The following is a 19,346-nucleotide window of genomic DNA, read 5'->3' on the forward strand; positions in this document are numbered from 1 at the left end:
AATATGAGTATTATAAAATACCTCTGTAATGACCTTAAACCTATTTATTTTTATAAGTTAGTTACATTTTCATCTTCATCTTTCTTTCTTCAATATACAGTGTTGTTGAACGAGCATGGGTTTTAGTGTTAAATACATGAACTCAAATCCCAGCACTACCACTTATTAGCTGTGTGACCTTGGGCAAGAGGGAACCTCTTTGGGCCTCAGTTCCCTCATCGGTAAAATGAAGATAATAATAACAACTTTATGCATGTAATTGTAAAGATTAAATGAATACATGATAAGTAGTAAGTGCCTGGCACATAGTAACTACTTAATAAATGGTAGTGTTGTCAGATTGTTTCTTCTTGATTTAGGGCCTAACATATTATGAATAGAACAATAAATTTCTGTTAGTTTATTGAGCATCTTTGCCAGGCACTGTGCTGTAGGCCTTTTCATAGAACATCTTTATTACTTATGATAACCCAAAAAAGTTGTTAGTACCGTTTTACAGATGAGGAGACTGAGGCTTAGTAAAATTAAACAACTTACCTAAGGACACGTAGGAAGAATTTCATCATTTTTTCTAAGTAGAACCCCTGTATCCACAAATTAGGATATATTAACTGAGGCTAGATTTTAAGGGTATATCCAATCCAAATATTTGAATTTTTTTCTTTTTTGGAGCCAAGCATTGGATTATTTACTGGGCATCCATCCAGTATTGCCAAGACATTATTTATGGTGTTGTACTATAATCATATAGTAACAGTTTCTGGGAATATAATATCACCCTATTGTTTTGCTTTAGTAAATCTGTAGGTGTGTCTAACCGGCAGAATAAGAAAGTAGAAGAAGAAGAAAAGTTGCTGAAGCTCTTTCAGGGAGTAAATAAAGCCCAAGATGGATTTACGCAGTGGTGTGAACAGATGCTTCATGCCCTTAATACGGCAAATAACTTGGATGGTAAGAATTGGGGAGGGAAACCCGGCATGTGGAATGACAGAGCAGGACCCACAGAGAGGCTGGCAAATTTGAACAGTGGGCCAAAAGTCAAAAGATGAAATCTAAGGAGGTCAACTGCTGCACCTGCCATAGGAACTTGACTCTTTAATAGTATTACTTGTGAGAAAAGTCCAGTAATACTAAACTCAAATAGATTATTGGTGGTTGTCAAAAAGTAAATGCCATCTTAGACTGCCTTAATGATACACAGGACAGAGGAGGTCTTAGTTCCATACTGTTCATTTTATGGGGAACATTGCCAGCTATGTCAAGTTAAAAAAAGTAACTCTCATGCTGGGGACAAAGGTCAACCTGGACAAGTGATGGCTGAAGTGATGTGACATCATTCCCTTTCTACCTTTGGGGGAGGGAATGGGAATTGTGATAAAGCAAGTACACTTATTTTGTGTAAGATAAAACTAGGACCAATGTGCAGAAGTGAAAAGGCTTTGGCACAGTTTAGAGAAAAACTTGCTCATGGTTAGCTGTTTACAAACAGAACTGTCTCCCATCCCTGAATATTTGAAGAGAGACTGGTCAACATGTCAGGATTCCCCTAACTAATAGGCTGAATTGAATTAATCCACCTCTGATACCCTGTCTAAAGCCAAGAAACTGTGAAAAATAGCAGTAAAGGAATTAAAGAGTTCCTTTGCAGCAGTGTAACAATATCTAATGGTTTAAAAGCCTACAGAGAAAACAATTTTAAATAACAGTAATGGCTGCCATGCATTAAGCACCTACCATGTGTGCTAGGCACTCTCTTGGAGTTAACATGCAGCATCCCAGTTATTTGATTAGCAGTGATTTTTAAAGATACCTTTACAAGATAGGTGATATTATCCCCATTTTATAAATTAGGAAACAGAGGCTCAGAATGGTTAAATAACTCATCAAGGTCACACAGCCAGCAAATTTCAGAGTCAGGTTTTAAACCCATGTTTGTCTAACTCTGATACTCATGCTTTTCTCCTATACCACACACTGCTTACATTTTCCATTTGATTTCTCTCTAAAAAATCTCAGTGGATTGAAAGTTCCAGGAAGATATAGCTGTTTTCTTTAGTGTATGTTGTAGTGCCTGACACATATCATAGGAGTTAATAAATACTGATTGAATTTGAGGGTTCTTAAGGAAAGAATGAATCCCCAAATTACTTCAGCCTTAGTCAAGTAACTGTTTCAGTCAGTATAACATTCAGTGAAATTAAACATGTGGTATGGATGTTGTGATTATAGTGTTTTTTTCATTTCTATAGGGTAGATAAAAGAATATTTAAACACAATTGCTGCATACTTACCAAGTGTCTGTCATTAATGTTTGATTAGGTATAAAGATACATTAAAAATGGAAACTGATTTTTGTAAGTTCTCTTTCATTATTTCATTGTTACCCTTATCTTCTCCCCTCCCGTTTTGCAGTTCCCACATTTGTTTCTTTCCTGAAAGAAGTAGAATCTCCTTATGAGGTCCATGATTATATCAGGGCCTATTTAGGAGATACTTCTGAGGCCAAGGAGTTTGCCAAGCAGTTCCTTGAGCGCCGTGCCAAACAGAAAGCCAACCAGCAGCGTCAGCAGCAGCAGCTGCCACAGCAGCAGCAGCAGCAGCCGCCACAGCAGCCGCCACAGCAGCCACAACAGCAGGTATAAAGTAGTGTGGTGTATGCGGTACCTCTGAGGATTAATACCTTTAGATGTTGAGTAACCCAAGAAATGAAAATTAATACAAAGGTACCATTTTTGTATATCCAATAACCATGCTTTAAAAAATGTGTATACTTCATATTTTCAAATTACTTGTCCAGATACCTTTGTGTATCTCCCAAATAGCAAGTACAACCATTCATTTTACACTAGGTTTACCAGTTCCATTTTTCTTGGTTTGTATTTGTGTCATAGTTAGATTGCACATTTCAACATGTCAAACCCATAGATCTGGTTTTGAAAAGTTAAAACTTAAAATGTTGAATTTTCCAGTGTTCAGGATGCACTGTATTGAGTACTGACAACACTGCAGCATGCCAGATATTTCATGTTGTTGTTGGGGATGTAAAAAATACAGCAGTGATTCTCATTATTCACAGTAGTTACATTCTGTAAAGTCCCCATGAACACTGAATTTGAGCAAATACTGAACCATTGCTCCTAGGGGATATATAGGGTTAGGTTCCCATAAACTTCTAGTCACAATATTTTTCTCACCAGATCAGTACATAACCTTGTTTTATGTGTGTGTCTTTTTAAAGACACCTCATTTAATATATGTTGATTCATTAACATTGAACTCACAACTAATAGCACTACTATTCGTGCCCAAATGAAGCTTATCCAGCACACGTATTTTCTTCCTAAGGCACCTCACAGCCTTCCTGTGCTTAGGAACAACAACCAGTTCTTCAGCACTATAGTTGAGGGCCACTTTACACAGCGAAATCTGGTGGCTCATGTCCGTAATCCCAGCACTTTGGGAGGCCGAGACAGGTGGATCATGAGGTCAGGAGTTCAAAACCAGCTTGGCCAACATGGTGAAATACCGTCTCTACGAAAAATACAAAGATTAGCCAGGCATGGTGGTGTGCTCCTATAGTCCCAGCTACTCGGGAGGCTGAGGCAGGAAATTGCTTGAACCTGGGAGGCAGAGGTTGCAGTGAGCCAAGATCACACCACTGCACTCCAGCCTGGGTGACAGAGTGAGACTGCCTCAAAAAACAAACAAACAAAAAGTGAAATCATTAACAAAAAGCACAAAAATTTGGAAAACATGGCACTAAATAGACCACAAAAAGGGCACTTGTTGGCAGTATTGAGAACTGTAACAAGAAGGCATTGTTTCCTTGTTCTACCTTAACTGGGAATATATGCCTTTAGCATCTCATGTTTTTTGCTCTGAGTATGTGTATTTCTAGAATGACCATAAAAGCACTACAAGTATTCATTTTGGGGTTACAAATACATTTTAACAAGTAGGTGAATTCACAAATATGGAATCTGTGAGAATCAATTCTACAAGTTTTCTGAAAGACAAGATGGCAAGGCTCATGGAAGGGCTTAAAGATATTCATATCCTTTACTCCTGTAATTGTTATTCTAGAGATAATCAGTATTCATTATGGGTCACTTACGATGAGGATGTGGAAGATACAGAGAAGTACAAGGCATTTAACATCCAACTGGGTAATGGGCTAACAGGCATAAATTGAAGGAAAAGTGAAAGATGTAAACACTGAAACACTAGGAAAAACAAATTTTTTTTTTGGGAGGAAGTGTCACTCTGTTGCCCAAGCTGGAGTGCAGTAGCGCGATCTCAGCTCACTGCAACCTCCAACTCCCGGGTTCAAGCAATTCTCCTTCCTCAGACTCCCGAGTAGCTGGGACTACAGGCACGCACCACCATGCCTGGCTAATTTTTCCTAGTTTTAGTAGAGACGGGGTTTAACTATGTTGGCCAGGCTGGTCTTGAACTCCCGACCTCATGATCCGCCCTCCTCAGCCTCCCAAAGTGCTGGGATTACAGGCATGGGCTACCACGCCCGGCCCTAGGAAAAATATTTTAAGGAGAAGGCATCATACAGCAATATAGAAGGCTCTTTGCATTTGTGAAATGGCTTCTCTGTGGGCTAAAACAGGAAGATGGAAGCCCAGTAAGCACGTGCACCCATGGGCGCACGCATACACACATGCTCACACCAGGCTTGTCCTTCCACAGAGCTTTTTCCACTTCTCCCCCACTACTACCACCTGTGCCTTCAACTGGCTCATTGGCTAATAAGAGCCACAAGTAGGCGTGAAGGGCTAGTAGGCAATTTCATAGTGTAACCAGTTGGTAGAAAGTATACAGACAGTATTTTTGGGCCAGATCGTTTCTGGGATTGCTGATAGGAATAAGGTACACGACTTTAACTTTGTTTGGTAATATGCCACCCCTGTCCTCTCTGTCCTGGGGCCCAGGGAACAAAGAGACTTTCTGCTCTTGGTTAGGTGAGAGGTGCAGTGGTCTGCTCATGATTATTTGCAGTATTCATTTCCTAGCATTTGATACAGACTCTGTATGTACCAGAGAAGTTCTGCCGTCACAGCAGGGTGGAAACCCAGAGTTAACCAGGACAGGCTTTGTGGAGGCACTGAGCCCTGAGTGGGATGTCTTGGTCTAAATAGAGGAAAATGGTGGCTCAGTGGCCGCTCTTGATTTTATTATTAGAACATGTGATGAAAAGCTTTTTGTTTTTCTGCTTTTAAGCTCATTCTTGATAAGGTGAGGACAAACCAAACATTTTCCTAGGGTGAGCCAAGTCTGAATCTGCTGTGTAATCTCAGTCATGCTGCTTATTTCACAGGACTCTGTGTGGGGGATGAACCACAGTACACTCCATTCAGTATTTCAGACCAATCAAAGCAACAACCAACAATCCAATTTTGAGGCTGTGCAGAGTGGCAAGAAGAAGAAAAAGCAGAAGATGGTCCGAGCAGATCCCAGTTTATTAGGTGAGCACGGTCCTAGTCTCAGCTGAGTGTTGGAGGAGTGCAGGTGATACCAGTTATCCTGTGTGAGTTTCCATTGAGCATTGTTTTTCAAGAAGGGAAATATTTCTTTTTATCAATAACTAATGTTTTAACTGGTTCAAAATAAGTAGCCAGTATTTACTGGGCGTCTCAGTGCAGGACCTGTGCCTCATGTAATAACAACTTATATTGTATGGTGCTTTAAAGTATTGTTTGGTGCTTTAAAGTATTGTTTGATATTTAATATGAATTTCCCTGGAGGATCCTGAGTAATTTAGTTGGAAAATGATGCTAATAATGAACGATACTAAAAGTATGTTAAAAACTTAAATGCTTATTTGTATTGAAAGCAGACCATTAATCCGATCAGGTGTTCCAAGAAGAGAACCAGTATATGTTCATAATCACTCTATGTATCATATAATTCTCAGAATTACTTTGCATTATGAGGTGACATACCAGTTTCACCAATAATGAGTAGACCAAGGCACAGAGATTGAGAACATTTCCCAGTGTTACATAGCTTTCTGCTATGGGATGCTGGGATTTCAAGGCAGGCCTGTTTTCTTTCCACCCTTCTGTGTTACCCACGGCTATTTTTATCTAGCATTATGGACCATGCAAGGCAGGCTGGGCACGGTGGCTCACTTTGGGAAGCTGAGGTAGGTGGGTCACTTGAGGCCAGGAGTTTGAGACCAGCTGGGGTAACGTAGCGAGACCATATCTCTAAAAAAAATTTTAAAAACAGGCATGGTGGTGCCCACCTATAGTCCCAGCTACTTGGGAGAATGAGGCAGGGGGATTCCTTGACCAGGAGTTGAAGGCTGCAGTGAGCTGTGATCATGCCACTGCACTCTAGCTTCTCTGAAAAGGTGACATCTGAATTTGGGCTTTGAAAGAATGGCAGAAAGGATGGGGAATATTGTTTCAGGAATAACAAACAGTATAGGCTGCCCATGTTTTTTGCAACAGTGATGAAACTAACATTTTTTTTTTCTTTTTCTTTTTCTTTGAGATGGAGTCTCACTCTTGCTCAGGCTGGAGTGCAGTGGCGTGATCTCAGCTCACTGCAACCTCTGCCTCCCGGGTTCAAGCGATTCTCTTGCCTCAGCCTCCTGAGTAGCTGAGACTACAGGCACATGCCGCCACACCTGGCTAATTTTTGTATTTTTAGTAGAGAGGGGTTTTTGCCATGTTGGCCAGGCTGGTCTTGAACTCCTGACTTCAGGTGATCTTCTTGCCTTGGCCTCCCAAAGTGCTGGGATTACAGGTGTGAACCGCCACGCCCGGCCCTAAAATTATTTTCTATTTGTGAATGTAAAATTAGTGGCTATAAAACCATGTTGTCTGCAATAGAATACATTCGCAAGGATGGAAGTTCCGGTTGTTGTCCTGTCAGGAGGGCAGAACAGTGAGGAGGCTGCAGTATAGACTAGGTAAAAGATACCAGTGACTTGGAATAGGGTTTTGGTAGTGGGGATGAAAAGGAGTTAGATGGATTTCAGAAATGTAGGGGATAGAATTAACTGGACAAGAAGAGTGGAAAGGTCTCAGGCTTGGGGACCAGGATGGATGGATGGTGTTGCCATTTGCTGTGAAATGATAAGCAGTGGAACATGGCACAGGCTGAGGGGAATTGAGTGTTGACTGGGTTGAGTTTGAAATGTCTGTGGGACATCATGAAGAGCGTGAGACCCCGCACAGTGAGAGGCAGGTGGTAACCTTACTGTACCCTTGGTAGGATTCTCTCTTTCCCTCAGAGCCTTCCAGCCCTGGTGAAAACAACATGACAGTAAAACCTAACTTTTAGGACTGTCCTTTAGAATTGGTGCCTGAAGCCAGACGCGGTGACTCACGCCTGTAATCCCAGATCTTTGGGAGGCTGAGGCGGGTGGATCGCTTGAGGTCAGGAGTTGGAGACCAGCCTGGCCAACATGGTGAAACCTCGTCTCTAGTAAAAATACAAAATTAGCTGGGCGTGGTGGTGGGTGCCTATAATCCCAGCTACTCGGGAAGCTGAGGCAGGAGAATCACTTGAGCAGCCTAGGAGGCGGAGGTTGCAGTGAGCTGAGATCACGCCACTGCACTCCAGCCTGTGCGACAGAGTGAGACTCCGTCTCAAAAAAATAATAATTTAAAATAATAATGTTTAAAATATTATTTAAAAATAATAATAACAAAGAATTGGTGCCTGAAAGCTGGGTTTGGGAACTTGTAGATCTGGTGCAATTCTGTTTTCCTCTGCTTGTCTCAAAAGTTGATAAGGATGGATGGAGCAGCCTGAAATTTTTTCCAATTTGGATGAAATTGGTGAATAGATTTTAAAACATTCCTTAAATTCTAACTGTGGGTTCTAGCTAAGAAGCTTTGGGACTTGAGGATAGGCTGTTAGGGAAAAGGTTGCTCTGAAAATGAGGTCAGACCGTTTGGACTTAAATATTCCCTTGGATCTCATCTTCTATTTATAGATCTAAGAAAGGAAGGGACTTTAAAAACCTCACTATAAGGGTGTGGGAGATAGGTCATCCTAGGAGTAGAGTTTAAGGAATCCATATACCTTGAAGGGGAAGAAAAACAAACGTTGAACAAAGTATTGAGGATACTCACTGAGGTTATGAAAATTACTGCTCACCTAAACCTCACTCTGGAAATTCCTCTCATAATTGCTCATTTTTGTCCTATACTTATTTCATTTTCATTTATTACTTTTTAATTTACATATTTCATATAATTTGTATACTGAGAAAAAATTAATAACTATCCATTAGCTACACATTCCCCATGCATAAAATGGGAAAATGGGAAGTCTTCGTTGAAAAAGCAGTCACTGATGGAAAGAGAATTTTGCTTCTAAAACAAACCAGCAGAGGGGGCCACAGCCTCATTTTAATTATCAATATTCTCCAGTATCTCCTATCTTCAGTAGGCTTCCTCCACCTCCCGGGTTCAAGTGATTTCCCCTGCCTCAGCCTCCCGAGTGCTGGGACTACAGGTGCGTGCCACCACGCCAGCTACTTTTTGTATTTTAGTAGAGATGGGGTTTCACCATGTTGGCCCGGATGGTCTTGATCTCCTGACCTCGTGATCTGCCCGCCTTGGCCTGCCAAAGTGCTGGGATTATAAGGGTGAGCCACCGTGCCCGGCTGGCTTCCTCTTTTTTTAGAGCTCTTCAGGTGGTCATTGTGAATCAGCAACCTGCACTCAGATGTGATAAACACACAATACAGTTTCTCCCCAGACTTTCCTTGTAAGAACAACCTCACAAATCTTAAAGAACTCATGTGAGTGAGACTATGCTCTGAACCTCACAGAATGTCATCTTTAGAGCCAGGCATAGTGGATTGAATCCGTGTTTGTGTTGCCTTGGGTTTCACAGTACCCAGAACTTTCCCTTACATCAAATGGCTGAATTTGATAAAGAATGGCATTCAGCCAAAGGATGAATGCATACCTTGCTGGTTTTTTAAATGACAGTTAAATGAGAATATGTCTGTTTGCTAAAAGCCTAGACTGATAATTAACATATTAATCAACTTTTTTTGGCCACAGACTTTTCCCTTCCTGTCTTTGCATGAGTAAAATTAATTTAGCTTTTAAATTACACTTCCACTTCTTTTGCATATAGTTCATTATTGCCTTTTATCACATTTTATCTGTTCTTAAGATACACGTGAAGTCAATGAAAAATCTGCCTCAGAATAAAGTAGTATTTTATTTCATAGACTGGCCTTTAGGTTCTTGTACTTGCCTAATTAACTGTTACTTTAAAAACATAAACATTAGGGTCAGGCACGGTGACTCATGACTGTAATCCCAGCACTTTGGGAGGCCAGCGTGGGCGGATTGCTTGAATCCAGGAGTTGGGGACCAGCCTGGGCTACATGCCAAAACCTTGTCTCTACAAAAATTACAAGAATTACTTGGGTGTGGTGGCACCCGCTTATAGTCCCAGCTACTGGGGAGGCTGAGGTGGGAGGATCGCTTCAGCCTGGGAGGTGGAAGTTGCAGTGAGCCAAGATCACACCACTGCACTCCAGCCTGGGCGACAGAGTGAGACCTTGTCTTTAAAAATACATATATATGTATATATATATAAACACTAAGGCTGTCACTATTTTCAAGGGGGAAGAAAAAGACTTGTGGGTTATTGGAACACAGTTGATGGGGTCAAACTCAGGATGGGGTTTGGAATCCTAGCCTCTCCCTATATTTGGTCTTGTAAGCAGTTGGTACCACAGCTTTTTTGGTTAATAAATAGGCATGTTTATTTTTTTGAATCATGATATTTTTGAGTCAGTTAATTAAGGTATTTTATGTAAGGCATTTTTGTTTATTACTGTTACATTTCAAATGTGTATTTATTTGAAAACTTGAACATGAAAAAACAAGAGGCTGCAGAAAACCCAGCTAATATTAACAGAACTGCTTTTAGAATAAGGACATTGCCTGTTTACTTTTTGGTATTCAAATAACTAAAACAGTTTGGGATTTTATTCAAGGTAGAAGAACTGGAACATTTTTGGGGAGTCACTCAGTTTAAAGAGGCATTGTTCATCATTTTTATCAACCTCCAATTATAGAAGTTTTGGAAAAATTACATACATGTGACCATTGGGCATTCGGCATTAGGTTTTCTTTTTTTCTTTTTCTTTCTTTTTTTTTTTTTTTTTTTTTTTTGAGACAAGGTCTCACTCTGTTGCCCAGGCTGGAGTGCAGTGATGTTATCTCAGCTCACTAAAATCTCTGCCTCCTGGGTTCAAGCAATTCTTGTGCCTCAGCTTCCCGAGTAGCTGGGATTACAGGCGTGCAGCGCCACGCCCAGCTAATGTTTTGTATTTTGAGTAGCGACAGGTTTTTGCCATGTTGGCCAGTCTGGTCTCTAACTCCTGGCCTCAAGTAATCCACCCACCTCGGCCTCCAGTGTGCCCAGCCAGCATTAGGTTTTCAGCTGTCAGTTGTGTTTGTGAGTACTGCTTATTGCCTTCAATGGGTATGCTAGTACTGCTTTTTCTAAGCCAAATTCCCTTTTGGTTAATCAAACATTGCTAACTGAAATCTTTTCCTTTGCAGATATATTTACAGTAGATCGAGTTAGAGTACTTTAATCTTCTTGCTCTGTCTACTGTGGGAAAGAGAATATGCGAGGACTCTAAGGATCTTAATAGTGTGTCTTCCATGGAGCCTCTTACCCTGAGTATCAAAAGCTCTGGGCCAGAACTTTCATAAAGTTTTTGACTGGTGGGAAGAAGTATTCCCATTAAAGTGGGTTGAGGTTTAAAGGGGTATTAATCCCACTCAGATTTCAAAGTTATGTGGTCAAGTAGTTACAAAGAACTTAGTGTATACAACCCTCCATGGTAACCCCCCTGCCCACCCCCATCTCTTTTAAGGTAGACCTCCTGCATGAACTTTCCTCCAGGGCCAGCCCAGCCTGTCCTTGATACACACTCACATCCCATTCTTTTCTCTGATTCTCTGAAGCAGTGGTTTGCAGGGGGTTTTTTTGTTTTGTTTTTTTTTTGAGACAGAGTCTCGCTCTGTCACCCAGGCTGGAGTGCAGTGGCGCGATCTCGGCTCACTGCAAGCTCCTTCGACCAGGTTCAAGCAATTCTTCTGCCTCAGCCTCCCGAGTAGCTGGGACTACAGGTGCCCACCACCACACCTAGCTAATGTTTTTTTGTATTTTTAGTAGAGACGAGGTTTCACTATGTTAGCCAGGATGGTCTCGATATCCTGACCTCATGATCCGCCTGCCTTGGCCTCCCAAAGTGCTGAGATTAAGGCATGAGCCACCACACCCGGCCTGCAGTTCTTTTTAATTGGTGATGCTATTTTGTTTTATTTTCCTTCCTAATTAGGTTATATCAGAACCTTAAGAAAATAAAAAATCTCTCTCATTGGAAGAACAGAAAGCTACTGCTGTGACCTTTATCTTTGTCTCCCTGTAATACTTCTATGGTATGCTCAAAAACAAAAGACTGGCCAGGCACGTTGGCTGACGCCTGTAATCCCAGCAATTTGGGAGGCCGAGGCGGGCGGATCATTTGAGGTCAGGAGTTCAAGACCAGACTGGCCAACATGGTGAAACCCTATCTCTACTAAAAATACAAAAAAAATGAGACGGGCATGGTGGCATGTGTCTGTAATCCAGCTACTTGGGAGTCTACGGCATGAGAATCTCTTGAACCCAGGAGGTGGAGCTTGCTGTGAGCCGAGATCACGCCACTGCACTCCAGCCTGGGTGACAGAGTGAAACCCTGTCTCACAAACAAACAAACACAGACTTACATTCCAGCTCACCGCCTAGAATTTGAGCCGCTTGGTTGCCTGGGTGTGGTCACTCATAGCCAGTTTTTTTTCTGCAGGATTTTCAGTCAATGCATCATCGGAGCGACTCAACATGGGTGAAATCGAGACGTTGGATGACTACTGAGCACCTGCCAGTGGACTGGCCATCCCTCTCCTGTCTGCCGACTATGGAGTCTCCACCTTTGGACACAACACTTACTCACCATTTACTCTTTATCACTCTGCAACAAATCACAGAACCGATCATCTCAGGCTTTTTCTTCTGGCCCTTTGTGTCCAAGATTCTTTAATCCATTTTTGTTGGTGAACATCTCAGACTATAGATAAGTGGACTGGACCCTGTGTCTTGGGGGTGGCAGTTGGGATTACTCCCCAACAAGGCTGATTTTAGGCAGCATGTGTTCACTGTGCTGTGATTTCATCTACTGTCTCCCAGAAAGTGTGTTGGGATCGGCCATTAGCAGCTTGCTTTCTCTTGTCACTTTTTTTCTTCTATTTTGTTTTTTCTTCTTCTTTTTCCCCCCATCAGGGCAAATGGTCTAACTGGTGCAATCATGAAGAGAGTTAATGGTTAACAGACATTGGCCAATAACAAAACACCCCATGGACTGTGACTCGAGTATCCAACAGGCAGTCAGAGCTCTCCCGGTCTGAAAGTTGCATTGCCACTGCTAACTTTGGGATTGCATCAGAGAGGCCCTGAGTGGGGTTGAGATGAGGTTGGTTTGGTTTGATGTTACACACTCCTCACCTGTTCTTTCTGAGTGTCCTTTCTCTGAAAGGATTTATGTTTTTCTTCGTTAGATAGTGACTTCTGAGCAAGCTGATCTCCCCTGGCATGCTCCAACCTGATTGGACAAAGGAAGCTCTATGGCCTGGGAGAGAGACTATTCTTAATTTTTCTTTCTTACAAAAACTGATTTTTCCCATAAATATTTTTACTTCAGAGGACTAGGACCATTTTGTTTTGGGCCCTTCTGCTGAAAATTTGTCTCGTTTAAGAGGCAGCTAGAATCTTTACCATATGTATGAATTTGTATAATTTCATTTTTGGATAGGGATAAACTTTTGCTTCTGATAAAAGCCTGGAATTTCATCTGGTCCTCAGAGCATTGCGTGTGTGTCTTGCTGTAGCCCGGAAAAGGTTTTGTGTAAAGATTCTGGGATGGCAAGTTGTTTGCCTTTTCTGAAAAGAGAACATACAGAACCTGTCCATCTTTAAGACCTTCATCCATGGAATCTACTATACAGGAGGATGCAGTGGGCTGGAGGGGATGGGCGAAAATGGGAGCAGGAAGCCTGGCCTGGCTTCTGGTCATGGCCTCCTAAAACCTTAAACTTCAAGTAGAAATGTACTCAAGCCCTATTTATAAACAAATACTTTTCCTGCCTCCACCAAACCCCTACAGAACATCACCTGGAATTGCCACTCACACTGGGTTGGAGTCATTGGGCAGCTGTGCCTGTGCGAGAGGTGCTGTGGTCTGGGCAGCCCCTGGAAAAGCACCTTTGCTGCCTGTCATTGTTGCCTGAAGAAGGCTGGAGTTGCTCTGAGAGCAGTTTGGGTTTGGAGTATTATATTTGGCTTCTATTTTTATTATTTTGGATCACCATTCTCCCTATCCCTTCTTGCCTCCCTCCCTTCTAAACATGTGTAATAACTATACAGAGACTGCTACAAAATTGTATATAGTTTTTGGATCAAATAGCATGAGGGGAGAGGAAACCATTAAAAGTTGGGGCTCCTACTCTCCTTTGCTTTGTAAATTCAAAAGTTGGGGGTGGGTAAGAGGGATAGTTAAAATGTTTACAAAACTTTAGGCTCCCTCGGAACTTTTGCCAGTGTGGAGGAAAATAAAAAAGAACTTAAATAAAATCTGATTGTATTCTATCTGAGTGCACCTCTTGTACTCACCTTTATGGAGGCTGAGTTCTGCACTAAACTGTTCCTCTTGGTACCATGGAAAAGCTCCAAGCACCCAAGACATGGAGGCAGCCATGGCTTCTTTCTCTGCCAGACCACGTAGCACTGGCTGGTTCTGTATTTGAGAATGTAGAGGTCAAGGCAGATGTCGGTAAGTTTGACCAAATATCTTTTCTCTTTTTGACTCTCCCTTTCTGCTAACATGTGGATCAGCTCCTGCCCTCATACCGCAGACACACCCACTCTGAACACACCCCTCCAGAGCTTGCCCACACCTTCCCAACTAGACTCTGTGTGTGTATTCAGGAAAAATGAAAATAAATTTTTAAAAATTGGGAGTGGAATGGGCAGATTAGGGGGAACAAAGTCATTTTGGTCATGGAACATCCATTTGCTTAACCAAGGAGACTTGCTTCTATCTGAGGAATTTCCCACTTAGTAGAAAGAAACACTCTTCCCTGGGAATGTTTGTTTCTGTCTCTCTCAATGCTACTCTCTTTCATATTCTCATTTGCTCACCCTTTCACTTAGAGCCACCGTTTTCTCATCCCATTCTATGAACTTATTTCCAAATTCTCCTAACTATTCCTGAGTTTTGAAGTATTTGTTTTGTACCCTCTCTGCTTCCGGTTTTTTGTTTGGTTGGCTTTTTTGGAGATAGGGTCTTGTGATGTTGCCCACACTGGTCTCGAGCCCCTGGGCTCAAGTGATCCTCCCGCCTCAGCCTCCTAAATATCTAGGACTACAGGTGTGTGCCACCATGCCCAGCTCCAGTTTTGTTGGTTGATTTGTTTAAATTCAGAGATTTAAAAACATCCCAGACAAGACAGTTTGATTATGGAGACTGTCCCCAAGCAGATTGGTGTGCTGGTGGCTGCTGTGCATAACAGATTCCCTCCAGATTGGCTTACAACAGCTACTTCATTCTGTGGGTCAGGAATTTGGATAGGGCTCAGCTGGGTGGTGGTTCTCCTGGGGTATTCTTTGGTTGTGGTCAGATGTCTTCCAGGGCATCATTCCTATGAAGGCTTAATGAATTAGGCAAGCTGTCCAAGATGGCTCACTCGTGTAATGACAGTTGACGTTGGCTGTAGGCTGGGAACTCAGCTGGGTTGATGACTGGAGGAGCTTATGTGTGTCGTCTCCGGAATGGCAGCTTCAGAGGAGTTGAACTTAAGTGGTGATTGGCTTCCCCCAGAGAACCAGGCAGAAGCTGTGTTACCTTTTTGAGCTCTTAGCTCAGGAGTCACATAGAGTCACTTCTGTGACACTGTGTTGCATCAAAGTAGTCACAAACCCACTCAGATTCAAGAGAAGGGAGCATGGCCCTCTCCCTGCAACCCCCTCCCCCCCCGCCTTGATGAAAGGAGTGACAAGGTCACATTGGAGAAGAGCTTGTGGGGTGGGAGATATTATAGCCATTTTTGGGAAATATCTGCATAAAATGAGTTTATGCATACATGAAGGACTTTATTTTCATTGGCTTTAAGTTGAGGGTTTTTGTTTTTGTTTTTGTATTGGAGATGGGTTCTTACTATGTTGCCCAGGCTGGTCTCAAACCCCTGGGCTCAAGTGATCCTGTTGCCTCAGCCTCCCAAGTAGCTGGGACTACAGCTATGTGCCAGTGCACCCAGCTTGTTTTTTTTAAATTTTAGGATAGATAATGGTACTTCTGGCTTTATTTAAATAATTTTTTTAGGGAAACCATTGTATTTATACATGCATATATTTTTATATATACAAATATGTATATAAAAGTATATGTTTTACATTTTCAATATATATATAATATATACATATATGTTATATACGTATATATATTGCACCCTACTTTAAAATTGACTGATAACAAAATTGGTAATTTTGTATAAAATGCCCAACTGTGCATTATTAATAAAAGTATGTGAATGACTCTAATTAAACAGAAGTGATTCTTTGAAATGAACATATTCTGTACTGTCCTTCCAATATGTGACGTAGATCATTTTCAACAGAGTAGCAGGCAAGCGCATTCTACAGAGAGTAAAGTACAATCAGAGCACATTCCAAATGGAAGTTGGCCTTATAGTTAATGAGTTTCTTAGAACAACAAAAGCCCAGCTATGAAGGGTGCCTTTGGTCCTGCGTGAGTTCAGTCTCTGGTGAGGAAGCTGCAATGCTTTCTAAGACTCTGGAGAGTCTGGGAACCTTGAAGCAGCCAGATGCGTGATAGTTATTTGCAGGTGTTGCCTGAGAACGATGGACACGTATAGCTTTTGGTAGTGCTGGTTTTGGACTGGGAACCTAAAACCTTCAAGAGGACAGTTTCCCTCCAAAGAATTAATCAGTGGGAATGTTTTGCAACAAAAGTGTCAACCATAGCAGTGGGGCACCACATGGGAGAAACAGCATATAGATGCTGGCAAGGAAGAAGTGGGCTCTTTACCTAACAGCTGATCTTCGACCTAAAAGTTGTCATTGCGTTCCCTTTCATTGCTGCCAAAGCGATGACATCATGGGGATGGAATTCATGATCACCTCCACACTTGGTTCAATCCAGCTGATATAACAAGCAGAGACATCACCTCTTAAAGACTGTTTACTTGTCCCCCAATTGTAGGAGTGGAAGGTTAGTTTCCCTTGGCAGCAAATTGCCTTTTTATTTGAATTTCTCCTTTAGCATGAGAAATGCTCCTGGGAATGGTCAGTGGGTCGGTATTGGGTTTGGTTGCATCTGACAAAATACAAAGTCAACAGTGACAATAAAATCACTTATTTTCAAGTGAAATAGGTCGTAGGTCCAAAGCTTGTGGGGTGGCCCACGGACCCAGATTCTGTTTCAGCATCCTGATTGTGGCTTTCTTCTGACTCGTGATCCAAGGTGACTGTTACAGCACCAGCCATCATGCCTATATTCCAGGCAGGAGGAAGGAGTGGGGTGAGGCAAACAGCACACCTTCCTACTCAGCCCTGTTTAAGGAGCTTTTTGGGGAGCGCTATCCAACATCTTAAGTCTTACCAGCCAGAATGTAGATACATAACTACAGTTAGTTGTGGAAGCTTTGGGATTTTAGTTGAGTGCTATCATCCCCAAATGTCATTGGGATCCTGTTACTGAGAAATTGGGAAAACGGATGCTACATTGGCAGTTGCAGTCTCTACCACATCCTCTGCAGTCTTCTGTTTTAAAGTGGGAAACGTGGGATGGTTTGTGCACACTGATCATGGGAAAAGAGTCCTCGTGGGTACCCTAGTTTTGCCTGTGGACTGAGGATCTCAGGCTTTCCCAATGGGGGGACTCAGCAAGCTCTGGTTTCTGTTGCTGTGCAGAGCTAGGGACCCAGAGCAGGTGTCAGTGACCCAGCCTTACTGTGTATTTTATTTCCTAATTCTACATAGAATCTGGGGTTTGTTATTTTGTTGTGTTTTTTGTTTTGTTTTGAGACAGAGTTTTGCTCTGTCGCCCAGGCTGGAGTGCACTGGCACGATCTCGGCTCACTGCAACCTCCGCCTCCCGGGTTCAAGCCATTCTCCTGCCTCAGCCTCATGAGTAGCTGGGATTACAGGCATGTGCCACCACGCCCGGCTAATTTTTGTATTTTTAGTAGAGACGGTGTTTCACCATGTTGGCCAGGCTGGTCTTGAACTCCCAACCTCAGGTGATATGCCTGCTTTGTCCTCCCAGAGTGCTGGGATTACAGGCATGAGCCACCAGGCCCGGCGACAAATACTACTTCTAGGCCATTTTGCAAGTGAGAAGGGCATTCGTGGGCACATACGTAGATGCAGTAGAGCATATGAAATCAGAGTAAACACCTTCTTAGATGTCTTATAATTAGTGCAAAGAAGTAACCCTTAGGCAATGTGGTATGGGTTTCAGGAGGCTGCACGTAAGTACTAGCCTCATTATTATTAACCAGTTTTTTCTGTCATGTCTCTGGTCCTCAGTTTCATTGTCTGTTAGATGAGGTGGTTGGCCCAGATCACCTAAAGAACTTGGAACAAAAATCAATCCCTTAGCTCCATGTCCCAGAGTCTGTAATCTGGGGTGGGACCGTGCATTGGAAATTATTTTCAAATTCCCCAGAGTTCTTAATGGACAGCCTCAGTGGGGACCCACCAGCCTAGCCTAGCTCTGAGATTTCAGCTCCAGCGGCCTAGTGTATGTGTGTGAGTGTGAGGCATGTGTGCTGCAGTAAACTGCTGACATTTGGCTTCTTGATGGTGTGTGACGAGTAACTCTTTGCAGCTTTACTGAAGGAGACCCAAGTTGAAAGGCAAGCTTGGTGTGCCTTGCTTAGGGGGACAGTCATCTGCCTGGATTTTCTGACTTTGGTAACATGAAATGGAGCCTTAAGCAGGTCGGGGTCCTGTTGTGAAACAGAAACCACCCTAGATGAACGTGAAAAAGAAAAAGAATTGGTGTTTGAAGTGTTGGGAGCAACATGGGGGAAAGTTACTGAAAGGTTAGTTAATAACTGTAGGGAAACCACTAACACTGTGTCCCCTCGTCCCATCTATCAGTTGTTAAGTCCATTTTTAGGTGATACTAACTTCAAGTTCAGTCTCACCTAACTATTAGATATCTTAAGGAATACATTGTATTTATGTAAATTAGTAGGGGAAAGTAGAGAAAAGTTGGTTCGTATCTGCAAACGTGTATGTATATATAAGAAGGAATAAAATGCACATCGCTGCCACGGTTCTTGTTTCTGTCCCTGGTTGTGGAGGGTGTTGGCTTAAAGCCTTTACTAAGTTCCACTCCCCCTTTGCCAGCCCCTCATCTGTTGGGTGGCCTGAACCTTCATTTGTGAGCGCTCTGAGTCATTAGCAGTCCTGAGGTCCCTGGGTTGTGGTCATCTTCAATTAGTTTTTTCCCAAGGCCAGTTTTTCTTTTTAATGAAAATGTTCTAGGGAGTGATGGAAAATGTGAAAGCTAAAATAAATAAATAAATAAATAATAAAAATAAAAATAAAAAAGAATCAAACATACATAGAAGTAGACTAATGTAACAGACTCCTACCTAATATAACCTGGCTTCAACAATTATTGACATTTTGCCCATTTTGTTGTATTTATCCCACTTTGTTCTCTTAGAATATTTTAAACCAAATCCTAGATATGACGTCACTCATAAATATTTTAATATATATGATAAAAGAGGACATCTTAGAAAAAGAAAAACCCACAATGCCTTGTCACATTAACAACACATCAGGTCCATAGATGACTTTCTCAGATTGTCTCAAAGGTGTCTTTTTACAAAGTTTGAAAATCAAAACAATGTTCATTGCATTTGGTTGATATGCTTTAAGTCTCCTTTAGTCTTAACAGTTCTCCCTACAAAAAAGAGAAAAAGTTGAAAAACTGTATCATTTATTGATGGAACATTCCACATTCTCTGGATTTAGCAAGAAGTGTCTTAATGGTGTCAATTTCTTCATCCCCCCCCCACCTCGCCATGTTTTCTGTGAATTAGATCTACAGGCTTGACTAAAACCAGGTTCTCCCTTCCCCACCCCTCACAGGAATCCTTTGCTGGTGGCATGGTGTCCTTCCCGCTGTATCACAGTCACACTGTATTGTCTGGTTGTTCCAGTTTCACTGATGTCACAATTCATCAGTTCTGTTGCTATCAGGT

At 42.1% G+C, this 19,346-nt stretch overlaps 1 protein-coding gene across 5 annotated transcripts in view; it reads left to right on the forward strand.

Moving 5' to 3' along the window:
- The window catches only part of GIGYF2 (GRB10 interacting GYF protein 2), a 163,275-nt gene extending 147,605 nt beyond the window's left edge, over positions 1 to 15,670 (forward strand). For 3 of the 5 annotated variants that reach the window (NM_015575.4, NM_001103147.2, NM_001103148.2), the window contains 4 exons: positions 797 to 951; positions 2,413 to 2,636; positions 5,327 to 5,474; positions 11,858 to 15,642. In NM_015575.4, coding sequence (NP_056390.2) covers positions 797 to 951; positions 2,413 to 2,636; positions 5,327 to 5,474; positions 11,858 to 11,925 — 595 coding nt within the window. In that variant the 3' untranslated portion in view covers positions 11,926 to 15,642. Of the gene's footprint in view, positions 1 to 796; positions 952 to 2,412; positions 2,637 to 5,326; positions 5,475 to 11,857 lie in introns of all 5 variants that reach the window. The other 2 variants (NM_001103146.3, NR_103492.1) reach the window with 2 other exon arrangements.

The sequence above is a fragment of the Homo sapiens genome, chromosome 2, assembly GCF_000001405.40.
Source record: "Homo sapiens chromosome 2, GRCh38.p14 Primary Assembly".
NCBI classification, from domain to species: domain Eukaryota; kingdom Metazoa; phylum Chordata; class Mammalia; order Primates; family Hominidae; genus Homo; species Homo sapiens.